The following is a 12,929-nucleotide window of genomic DNA, read 5'->3' on the forward strand; positions in this document are numbered from 1 at the left end:
TTTATAGTTAGACAAATGTGTTTACTTTAAATTAAGCATATGAGGCTCCCATCATATTGCCTAATAATTTATAAATTACCAAATCTAGAGAGCTTAGAAACTGGATCTGTTAGTAGTTACAATTTATAATTTTTTAATTAAGAAAAAATTAGATAGGCTTTTAATATCTTTTTTGGTAATTTATCTAACATTTCAAACAAATGCAGCTCACTAAACTTAATTTTGTTTGAGGATATTTCCAAATAAATGCCCACATACCACCCACACCCCACCCATAAGAGATAAATCGTAAAGCAATAGGTACACAGAGCAATAACTGATGTAAAGAAGAAATCAGACTTCAGCAAGAATAAGCACTACCTTAATCAGGCGGCGTTTAATGAGCTGCTGATCAGCAGAGAGAAACCCATGATTGATTTTAGGAAACACCATCTGATCAGTCAGTTGAGGTCAAAGGTTGAAGTTCAGAGATGAGAGAGTTGAAGAATAGACATCAGAAGGCCCCAAGAAAGAAATAAAGATATCCACATTAGACTTATAATGATTATTAAACAAAATAGAACTGGCACTTATGTCTAACATTAGACCCACTGGCTCTTCTTGAAAGAAATATAATCCTGAAATGGGATGCTGAGACCAGAACTTCAGTAGTAATGAATATTTTTTGTGCCTCATCATTTCACTGTGGATGTTGGACCTTTTTAATGTAGTTTATTCCCAGAAACAGGTAAGCAAGTGCACCCCTGCATTCTTCAGTCTGAGCAGAAAGTCTAGAGACAAAATGCCAGTTCCATTTCCGTCAGACTTGTCAACCAGCATAATGTGGCGTGAACTCAACTGCCATTTTATTGACGCCTGAAGTCCAGAGAGAGTACTTAGGATTATTTAATTGACTGGAAAAATATTACAGAGCATTAGAATGCTTGTAAATTAAGCCATCAAGGCGTGGCATGGTTCTAGATTGCTATGCCCACCTCTGTTCACAGTACCTGTTTGATGTCAATATCCTCTCAAGTATGCTCAGGATACACCCTCTTAATAGATATTTGACCTCAATGATGCAAGTGGGGTCCCAAGTGCCCAGTAACTTGATATATACCATGAGAGGAAGCCAACGGGCTCGGCAAGCCAATTGAATGGTTCCTGCTCACGCTTATGCTGATTGCATTTCTGACTGTGCAGGCATGAGTGACAACCACAAACCTTGACGGTGAGGATCTGATTACTGTGCAGGGCAGCAACTGTGGGGAAGCCTGGCAGGCCCTATGGACATAGCACAGCACCAAAACAACACGACATAAAACGTCACACAGACATTTCACTAGGGGACAAACAAAACAAGCACATACCTAGCACCTCCCTTTCCTGGGACTTAGAAGTCTTGCCTCATCTGACATACCATAAACAAAATTAGACACATAAGGCCCCAAAATAAACCTTTTTTTTTTTTCTTTTTAAGATGAAGTCTCACTCTGTTGCTCAGGCTGGAGTGCAGTGGCCTGATCTAGGCTCACTGCAACCTCCACCTCCCAGGTTCAGGCAATTCTCCTGCCTCAGCCTCCCTAGTAGCTGGGATTACAGCCATGTGCCACCACGCCCAGCTAAGTTTTGTATTTTTAGTAGAGATGGGTTTTCAGTTTCACCATGTTGGCCAGGCTGATCTCAAACTCCTGACCTCAGGTGATCCACCGGCCTTAGCCTCCCAAAGTACTGGGATTACAGGCATGAGCCACCACATCTGGACTTTTTTTTTTTTTTTTTTTTTTTTGAGATGGAGTCTTGCTCTGTCACCCAGGCCGCAGTGCAGTGGTTACAATCTCAGCTCACTGAAGCCTCTGCCTCCAGGGTTCAAGTGATTCTCTGTCTCAGCCTGCCCAGTAGCTGGGATTACAGGTGTGCACCACCACGCCCAGCTAATTTTTGTATTTGTAGTAGAGACTGGGTTTCACTATGTTGGCCAGGCTGGTCTCAAACTCCTGACCTCAAGGGATCTGACTGCCTCGGCCTCCCAAAGTGCTGGGATTACAGGCGTGAACCACCATGCCCAGTCAAACCAATAATTTCTTAAAGCATGGAATAGGGAAACTGAGAGCTCATTGTCACTGAGCCTGGGGCAGGTACAATGGGATCTGTGTCTACACGGTGTAAAGAGTTTGCTACACGAAGCATTTCTGGAATCTTACTTACAAAATTACAACATCTTAATTACAAAATGTTAGTACAAAATGGAGATAACTATAGACACTGTTACGAAAACCACACTGTAATTTCCCTCAATTGACATTCTGTTTACAACTCAGGACATACAATACGTGTATTAATTCTTTTTTGGACAACAACAGGGAACAAAATTTTGCCATCAGATCATACTTATTCCCCAGAATAAACACAGCACACCTCACAAAATATAGTCTTGCCACCCACATATCAAAATTTCTCTCTCCAATCATATGATGAATCTCAGATCTCTCCTGTTTCAGGAATTCATGCAGAGGTGGTGGATGAAAATCTGTCTCTTACAACATGTGTATTTCATGTCAGGGGGATTTATGGTCACACTCTGCAGTAATCACTTCTGTCACATAACTTTTCCAAAAGAACTTGACAGTTCACACAACCCCTTAATGCAGAAAAGCGGTTTTGAATTCCTTATCCAAGGAGAACAGGGAGAGATGTTTTAGACACTCGTTCTTCAATAACTTGTACTAACTCCTCCTCCCAGGCGTTATCAATTGGGTAAGTCTGAGAGAGAAATTTTGGCTTTGTTCTATTTCTTTTCTAACAACATGTGAAACTAAAGCCTTTTATTCCTTTTTTTCAAAAAAAAAAAAACACAGAACATGTTTACCATATAAATAAAATAAACAACAACCACAGCAATACATGGCCTAGGCTCTCCCTCTTCCCACCCAAATTTATCTTGTGGATATTTTTAGGAAAGCCCAGGAAATTTCTACATTTTCTACATTTTTAATTTTATTAGTTTCATGAATATTTCACCCCCACATTCCTCATATTAGAGATATGTTTTTCATTTTAAGAAAGGCAGTAAAATTAGTTTGTAGTCTGAAGACATTTCTTCAGCTCTAATGCCTTTGACTCTCAGTCTTCGGTACTACAACTTCTCAGGAAGCAAAACAGAGAAAATCTTATCTCTTTTGCCAAATCCGTTCTGATAAGGCTATTAAGTGGCTGCGTAGTTTTGAGGTGACCTATGTCCTCTTTTTCTTCTCTCTAAATACAAGTCCTTTAAATATAGATTCTGCATAAATTCAGAAATGCTACAAGTTTGAAAACAGATGTATACAATTTGCTTTTGTTTTACTATGGAATATGAGTTTAAAATGTTATTAGATGGTAATGTGCCAGCATCTTTCCATCTGTGACTCATTAGCCCTATATTACACAGTCAGAATTTTATATATAAACCTCATATTTATGTAACAAAGAACAAAAACAGATACAAACAAGAAGTCTATGAGGGATCAGAATCTTGATTAGTGGCGATAAATCATAATGTCACTTGAAACAGGATTATCTAACAAAATAATTTTAAATTAAAAACCTTTTAGCAGCACACATGGTAGGACTTAAAAATATTTTGAAATTTGAATGTGTAAATAAGTCACTTCTTGTACTCATCTCTGAGCATGACCAGCTTTCTATTTGATCGTATTTTCAAAATGCTCACAAAAAAAAAAGCCTTAAGTTTTATAACTCCTTAGTTTGGGTTCTAATTTTAATGAGATCTAAAGAGAGAATTGGATAGGTAATTCTCACCTCAGAAAGACCTTTTTCCTCAAACAGAATAATCTCTATTTGAGGAAGCTGATTTATATTCCTCAATCATCTTGACTGTGAAAATGCTACCAATTAGGTGTTTAGTGCTACATTTTAAAGATATCATTAGCATGCTAGGCAAGGAATTTTTCAGGAGTTTACGTGTAGCAAAGTAAAAAGGGGACATGTGGACAGAGTTTCTTATATTCTAACAAAAATCCCATGATTTGGGCTGCAATGTGCTAGGACCCTGTGCTTTTCAAACTGGGGTAAAAGTAACCCTCAGAGTATATGCCAGCATCCTACAGAGTGTTTCAAAGCAATAATAAATATGGTACATCTTCCTAAAAAGTATATTTAATTAATGGCAAATAAATTTAAACATTATTATGTAAAGCAAACATCGATATATATTATAGGGTTTTAGCATTCAAAATTGAATATGTTTTAAAAATTTTCACCATTTGATGGTGGTAAAAAAAATCCCATTTCACAGGGGCTGCCTCCAGATCCTAGGTAGACACTGACTCTGCTTCTTGCACGAGTTCTTTGGAGGGTTGGTTTGTAAAGTACAGGTGTTGACACCTATCTTCAGTACAGGTGTTGACACCTTATGGCTTTGTGTGGCCATACCTGCTAGGCTTCTCTAGCTGCTCATACAGAGGATATAATTTTTATTAACCATACCATTTTTTCCCACAGTATCATTAGTCATAATCCTTTCTAAACAAATAGAATGGACATATTTTACTTGGTTTTGCATCTTAGAAAATTTGCCTGGTACACAGATGGTTTGAGTGGGTGTGGAAAAACAAATGTGCCTCCAGAAAAATATGGAGAAAACATCCAGGAATAAGCTGAATATTGAAATAATTTTTGTTATTGTTGTTGTTTTTTGAGATGGAGTCTGGCTCTTCACCCAGGCTGGAGTGTAGTGGCGCGATCTCGGCTCACTGCAACCTCTGCCTTCCGGGTTCAAGCAATTCTCCTGCCTCAGCCTCCCCAGTAGGCTGGGACTACAGGCATGCACCACCATGCCCAGCTATTTTTTGTATTTTTAGTAGAAATGGGGTTTCACCATGTTGCCCAGGCTGGTCTCGAACTCCTGACCTCAAGTGATCCGCCCACCTCAGCCTCCCAAAGTGCTGGGATTATAGGTGTGAGCCACTGCACCTGGCCTGAAATAATTTGTACATATTTTCACACCCAAATACTTTGAATTCTTAAGAAATCGGATGTATAAGAGCTGTGAAACTACCATATATATAAAACTTATTTTTTTCCCTCCTGAGAGCATAAAGCCTCAGACAGCTTCATGAATCTTCATGACATTCTGTGAAGTAGGCAACCATCTCACAATGAATATTTTGACATCATTACAGGAAAGGCTATATCTCCCCCTTCATTACCATCTAGAAGAAACAATGCAAGCCTACCCCAAAGGGATATTGAACAAATAAATAATTCATAAGAAATGCTTCCAACTACTTAGAGGCCATACATTCAAGGTGTTATTGTCATTTTTATTGTTACGCAGTAATAATGAGTGTTATAAGATTACAAATAGTGAGAAGATTTTGTGCTTTCTCAAAAGTATTCAGTAAGGCAATGATAGAGCCAGAAATTCAATTCAGGTCTTCTGATTCTAAACTTTGTCATTACGCAATTTATGTGTTTATAATTTTCTTCTACCTGCTTTACAGTTTAAATATTAGAAAGCTTTAAAACTGACTAACATTCAACAATATTTAAAAAGCATTTGTTGAGCACCTTCTGTGCAACATTTACTATGCCATGCTCTGGGGATTGAATGGTGAGCAAGATCCCAAGCTCACAGGGTTTACCATCTAGTGGAGAAATAGAAATAAGCTGGCAGTTATCATACAGAGTGATAAGTATTATGGTGGAGAAGTTGGCGGGGGGGCTACAAAGAAAATAAAATGTGCACTAGACACATGTTTCAGGAGCCATGGAAGACCTCCCAAGCCAGGTGAATGAGGGGCTGGAGGTTGGTACAGGAAGAGTAAAACTGAAGATAGACCATTTAGGAAGGTATTACAATAGTCTAGTTGTGAGATTGTGTCTTAGAACTAGAGGAGGGACAAATCAATTGTTTCAATTGTTATTAAGGAAGTTGAAATTTGTAGGACTTGTAACTTGGCTGATAATATAAGGGTAAATGAGGAGCAGAGAATGGTCCTAGGTCTGTAGCTTGGACAATGGAAGGATAGTAGAGGGAACACAAGGAAGAGGCTTTCTGGGGTAGGCAGGTAGTTATGAATCATGAATTCAGCTATAGATTCACTGAATTTGAGATGTCTGTGGACAGCCAAGGGACAGCAGTTGGACACGCATATAAAATAGAAGGTGAGAAATGGCTGGGCGCGGTGGCTCATGCCTATAATCCCAGCACTTTGGGAGGCTGAGGCGGGCAGATCACAAGGTCAGGAGTTCGAGACCAGCCTGGCCAACATGGTGAAACCCCGTCCCTACTAAAAATATGAAAATTAGCTGGGCATGGTGGCGGGTGCCTGTAATCTCAGCTACTTGGGAGGCTGAGGCAGGAGAATCATTTGAACCTGGGAGGCGGAGGTTGCAGTGAGCCGAAATAGTGCTGTTGCACTCCAGCTTGGGCAACAAAAATGAAACTCCGTCTCAAAAAAAAAAGAAAAAGAAAAAGAAAGAAAAGAAAGAAAGAAAGGTGAGAATTATGAGCCATAGAGATATCTGAAGTCACCTAGGGAGGCTGTAGAGAAGGCAGACCCTTCAAAAGACTTAGGTTTAAGGGATGAGCAGGGGAAGAGGCAACTACAAAGAAGATGAAAAGGAGTGGCTATAGAAGCAGGAGGAATGGTAATTCTCCTCACAAAAATTCTAGTCAGGCAAATGACTCAAAATGATAGATGCATATACTCTACTTTGCTGTTTATTGCATCATCAATAATGCTGCCTAAATGCACATAAATAACTCATAAGAAGAACAGGTTAACAATGGCCAGTGTCACTGACAATGGCTGATCATTGATCAGCACAAGGGAGTGTACCTGAGGTTGTTGGGCTATGGAGGAAAAGATAATTATTTTAATTATGAAGAGTCAAGGGGCCCCAATAGCAAGTCATATTGAAAGAAAAAATATGCATTATGCTGAGAAATGAAATCTCCAAGTCTCTCTTTAATGTAAATACTATCATGATTCTGTTTGCCCAAAATACATCATGCATTACAACACGACCATCACAGTGGGCATGTGTGCAGCACAAATAGAGATAAATACTCCTCAAAGTTGATAAAAATAATTTCTAGCTAAGAGAGACCAGATGGGGAAATACTACAATAAGGTACAAAAATATTTAGGTAAAAGAATTGCTTCAGTTTAGCAGAAACTGCTAGAAGGCTAAATTAAGAAAGAAAAGAATTTAAGAGAAAGAAATTTGCAGCTAGATCATTCCATATTGCAGTAGATGGTATAATTTATCTGTCTGAATAGAAAAATCAACTATATAAAGCTAAACAGCTAAAGGAATTTTTGAACAATCATGTAATATGAGAATTGGGGCCTGTGGAAATCAGAAGTTATAACTGATGATAAAAGATTGCCTCATGGTATTATTAATTATGGGAAGAATTAGCCTTCTGTAGTTGAATATAATATTTTCAACTGGCTCAAAAAGTTACTATTTTTCTTTTTTATTGATACTCTAAATTCCATTCTACTACGTTTTCTCATAAATGTTAACCCTAGTCACCCCAGGAATTATCTTTTTTTGTCTATAAATGATAAGTGTAAATTTTACAAGTTATTTGAATATATTTTCAAGTGGCTCGAAAAGTGACTATTTTTCTTTTTTATAGATACTCTGAATTCCATTCTACTATGTTTTATCATAAATATTAACCCTAGTCACTCCAGGAATTGTCTTTTTATATGTCGATGATAAGTGTAACTTTATAAGTTATTTGGAAGAGAAAGAAAACAATGCAATCTCTGTATGAACAAATATCATTAAATACTGTAGCTACTAAAATGCTAAGTAAGTGAAGACAGCCTGCAAAAGATCTATGAATAAGAAGACGGCAGATACACTTCAACACTGGCAAATGCAAAGTATAAGAAAAGTGCCTAAACTATTCATATAGGGCCAAAGGCTCTACTTGTTGTATATGATCTATTAGGGGATTCCAGGCCTTGTTGTAAAGTGTTCCCTAATGACATACACCTAAGAAAAGCCAACAGAAGATGAGACCCCATGAAAAGAGGTAGAATTCCTGAAGAAGCATTTTCCTGGTCTGAGTGCACTAGAGAAGTATAGACACAGAATATAGGGAAGAAAAATAAAACAGCCTTGCAGTCTGGGATGATGTAGAAAAATAAAACTGTATTGATTTTATTTATATACACTCTGCTAGAACTGGATCAGAGCTATTCTCTATAAATAAACATCAAGAGAACAGTACTGTCTTAGGGTTTCTTAATAATAGTTAAAATAATAAATAATGACAATGGTGATGATGGCATTAATAGTGGTAAAGGCTTACATGATATGCTCTTTGAGTGAGGTATTCTTCTAAAAGTTTTATAAATATTAACTCTTTTAATCCTCACACCAACTACTTGACAGATGAGGAATTTGAGACACGAAGAGGTGAGGGGTCTTGCCCACCCAATTGTAAGTGGCAGAGCCAAGAGTCACCCCCTGACAACCTGCTCCAGTGTCAACCATCTTAACCAGCATATTTTCCATAAATTTTTCTTTTTTTTTTTTTTGAGACTGAGTCTCACTCTGTCACCCAGACTGGAGTGCAGTGGCACGATCTCGGCTCACTGCAACCTCTACCTCCTGGGTTCAAGTGATTCTCCTGCCTCAGCCCCTCAAGTAGCTGGAACTAAAGGCGTGTGCCACCACGCCTGCTAATTTTTTTTTGCATTTTTAGTAAAGACAGGGTTTCACCACGTTGACCAGGATGGTCTCGTTCTCTTGACCTCATCATCCTCCCACCTCGGCCTCCCAAAGTGCTGGGATTACAGGCATGAGCCACAGCGCCCAGCCCCATATCTTCCATAAATTTTTCATAGTCTATGAATTTCATTTCCACTTATTCATTTATTCAATAAGAATTTGACACAATCACACAATGACCAAGGCAATATTTGGACATTGGGATTAGAGCGGTAAACAAGATAGACTTTATACCAGGCTTTACGGAGCTTAGAATGTATGAAGGCAGGCAGACATGAAACAAGCAACTTCAAATGTGGCTGGGATCTCTTTTGCTAACATTTATCCACGCTCTTTTCCTCTTGTATTTTTTCATTTCCTCCCCACTCCTGCATCAAGCTCTTAGACGACCCTTTGCTTAGGGCCTCAGAGGAGGCATGAGGAGGCAGAGTGCAAGACATAACTTGTCTACCAACATTTCTAGCAATGAAAAATACCTAGAAAGACACTCCACCAAACTAGAAGTGAGGAAAGAGATCTGTAGTCTCTGAGAGCAAAGAGGGACCTAAGCTCTGCTTCCCAGCAGCACTTCCAGGAAAGCAACACCACAGAGAAATGGCCATGTGACGTGCCAGATAGACATGTGTGGGCAGCCTTGCAAAGGACTCCCCTGCCTGAAGCACTACACAGAAGTAGCAGAAAGATTCCCATGCCCCATAGGTGCAGTCATGACACACTAGGAGACCCTTCTGGCTAGCCACTCTCAAAGGGCAACAATACCTTTCCTTCCTGATACTTCCGCCTAGATGAATGCTGGAAAAACCCAGAAAATATATTTTCCTTTTCTAAAGACATACTGAATCAACACTTGGTATACAGAGATTAGGTTCTATTTTAGGAACTCTCCCTTGAGACGTAGACTCTGTTCTTCAACTTGGGCAAGGTCAGGATAAGGGCAATGGCAAAGGGTTATAAGGATTCCTGTGGGAGGTCAGAGTGATGAGAACAAGAGAGATGAACTAAAACATGCATTCCTTCGTGTGACAAATGTCTCTGGAATACATGCTATACGCCAAGTACAGCGAAAGAAGCTGCAGGGTTTCAAATCTAATGGGTGACAGGGAATTGTCATATGAATGTCAATCCACATGGAAAATGTGTTAAATTAGTGCTCTGGTTAGAGGAGCAGGCAGTACTTAAGCTTATTCTGTCTGAGGACTGGAGTAAGACTCCCATAAAGGTAGAAATTGAGACACGTGAAGATGATTAGGACCCTGGCATTGCAGTGAAGTGTGGACTGGAGGTTTCTGAAAGAAGGTATTCCAGTCTGTAGCACAGTGAACAAAGGAGAAGGAACACTCAGGAAATTCTGGTAAGGTGAGTTTGGCTGTGGTGAAGCACACACATTTTAGAGAAATGCCTGGAAAAATTGATAGGGCACAGATGTGGGAGGTCTTAAAAGAAGCTTCAAGAGGGAAGTAGTGGAAAGCCATGAAGGTTTTTATACAACGAAGGTGCCATGCCATGTGAGTATGAGGAAGACAATTCTGACAAAAGTAAAGAACAGATTAAAAGCCAAGATATGGTTCATGATCCTTCAACTGCAGTTCCAAAATCCAAAGTCTCTGAAGATAAACATTTTTTCATTTTTAGAAACTTTTTTTTTCTTTTTTTTTTTTTTAGACAGTGTCTTGCTCTGTCATGGAGGCTGGAGTGCAGTGGTGCTATCTCGGCTCACTGCAACCTCCGCCTCCCAGGTTCAAGTGATTCTCCTGCCTCAGCCTCCCGAATAGCTGAGACTACAGGTGCCCACCACCACGCCCGGCAAATTTTTGTATTTTTAGTAGAGATGGGATTTCATCATGTTGGCCAGGTGGGTCTCAAACTCCTGATCTCAGGTGATCTACACACCTTGGCCTCCTAAAGCGTTGGGATTACAGGCGTAAGCCACCGCGCCCAGCCAAAATATTTTTTCTTAAGTTTTAAAGTTTTTCCTCTTTGCAGGAAACTTATGTGATGGCAAAAACTTACTTGAACAGATGTAAGGCTATTTATGGTCATTAATAATCCTTCTAAGTGTGAATATGCATATGTTTCACTGTAGAATTTGATGGTTTGATTACAGGGTGTCTCAGGCCCCTAAGGGTGTCAGACAATATGCATAGCATGAACTAAATTAACTTTCTAATTCCTAAAAACCGTAAGTTCTGAAACACACTTGACTAATAAGAGTTTTAAGAAGGGATTGTGAGCCTAGTTCAAAATTAATGACAAAGAGCTCTTTAGCAGAACTAAAGATTATAGAAAGAGTGGTAAGTTTTGAATTTAAGGAAATGAATGTGGGTTTGAACAATAAAATGTATTAATTATAGAGAAGTCTAAAAAATGCCCTGTCTCAATATATGGCAATCTGCATTATATATTATAATTTATACCAGTTTGTAGTAATTAAAAATAAATCTACTTTTATGATTTCAGTGTTACATATTAATGAGAACTAGTATGATCAATTATCTGGTATACATCTTTTAATTAATTGCTTTAATGAATAAATAAGCACATTTATAATTAGAATCTGTTTTGCAAATAAACACAAAAAAAAACTGTGAAAATTTTTTCTTTTCATGAAATGAAAAAAATTCTCCAGAAGTCCTGTTTAGAAGGTCAATTTGATTGTCAAACACTGCATAAAAATCTGCTTAAACCTCCCTGTGGAAACAAAAATGGTGTAAAAGTGGGCTTGAATTCAGCCCCATCTGAATTTCCTGCAATATGCCTTTGAAATACAAATTTTGAATTGTGGAGCTCAAATTACAGTTTTTAATTGTCAAAAAGTCTTCTAAGATGGCGCAGTATAAAAATAGCATGCAATACAATAATATTTTGGAACTACATTTCTATAAAACCCAGGGTGCTCTTCAGTTGAGGTTGCCAGGTCAAGGACTCATCTCAACTTGAATATATCCTATCCATTTTCTGAAAGGAAACAGTCTACATCTGGGAGAGGAGGCATAGCATGGATCAGGAAAGAAGATCAGTAGCTGACAGAGCACCTGACACTAAAGGGAAAACAGGCATTTCTTCAGCAGCCTGTGAGAAAAACTCAACTTTTTTTTTTTTTTTTTTTTTTTTTGGCATGTTTCATGCTGGGAGAGAAAGCATAAGTGTCCTGCCATTCTCTGGGAACTCTATTCAGTACTCTGGTTTAATGAGTATTTGCTAAACATCCTTTGTTTGATATTAGATTGAGTTGACTCTAAAATTCCTTGGGCATGCACCCTTAATGGTAGCCTCTTTCCTATTCATGGAAGAAGTAGATGCCTATAATGGATGGAAAATCATCCTGTACTTCCTTGTATACCTCTGAAGTTTAACATCCACCCTAAATAAGGTTTAGCCCACAGCAAATGCCTGACAGCCCTCTGGGATAACTGAACTCTTCAAAAGTGACCTTAGCAACAAAAAGGTAATGGATTGCTTGGAACAGTAGAGCAGGGAGTAACATTACTTGCAATGGTACTCTTATAGGTACCTTTCTGTACTAGTTCATCTGGTCCTATTCTCCAACATCCTCCTTTAGTTCAAATCCTAATTTTGTAGTTTTCTCAGGGTTTGTTCAATTACACAAAAGTAAAATAGAGTCTGTTGCTTGAGGACATCCCTGAACTCTGCATGTTTCCCAAAGAGGCTAAAATATTTATTGCAATTTAGGACGTTTGAACATCCTGTAATTATTTTTATATTTGATGTCATTTGTACATATGGAGTAAACTGAAATGACTATAAGAACTTGGCAGACAATATAAATAAAGAAGCAGGTTTAAGACAAAAGGAAGTGGGGAGACTTGGCTGAATAGAAGAGTGAAGCTGGGGCTGAAAGGAAACAATAACTAATCCCTTGATTTTTGCCACAGATGAAAGCAGACCTAGTGTGGCTACATCTTCACCTGCTCCATGAGAAACAAGAAATGAAAGTCTTTTTTTAAGAAAAAATAAATGCTTCAGATTTTGATGTTTGTTAACAATTCAAATTTAGTTTACACACTTTATATTCCAAATGAAAATACATTTGATAGTAGGATTTTTCTCACAAATCACCAGTTAAAGATCTCTGATTTAGTGTTTTTGAGTGGTGAAATACAAACAAAACAACTGTAGGACTTTGCCTCATAGCACACTTAGCCCAACTGATAGAACTTTATTTTGTTGCA

At 38.4% G+C, this 12,929-nt stretch overlaps 1 protein-coding gene across 11 annotated transcripts in view; it reads right to left on the bottom strand.

Moving 5' to 3' along the window:
• COL25A1 (collagen type XXV alpha 1 chain) overlaps positions 1-12,929 on the bottom strand; it is a 493,934-nt gene that overhangs the window by 132,281 nt on the left and 348,724 nt on the right. For 9 of the 11 annotated variants that reach the window (XM_011532335.3, XM_011532334.3, NM_198721.4 and 6 more), the window contains one exon: positions 361-432. The exons of 1 other annotated variant lie outside the window; for it this stretch is intronic. In XM_011532335.3, coding sequence (XP_011530637.1) covers positions 361-432 — 72 coding nt within the window. Of the gene's footprint in view, positions 1-360; positions 433-1,203; positions 1,264-12,929 lie in introns of all 11 variants that reach the window. One more of the 11 variants, NM_001256074.3, reaches the window with a different exon arrangement.

The sequence above is a fragment of the Homo sapiens genome, chromosome 4 (assembly GCF_000001405.40).
Source record: "Homo sapiens chromosome 4, GRCh38.p14 Primary Assembly".
Lineage (NCBI taxonomy): Eukaryota > Metazoa > Chordata > Mammalia > Primates > Hominidae > Homo > Homo sapiens.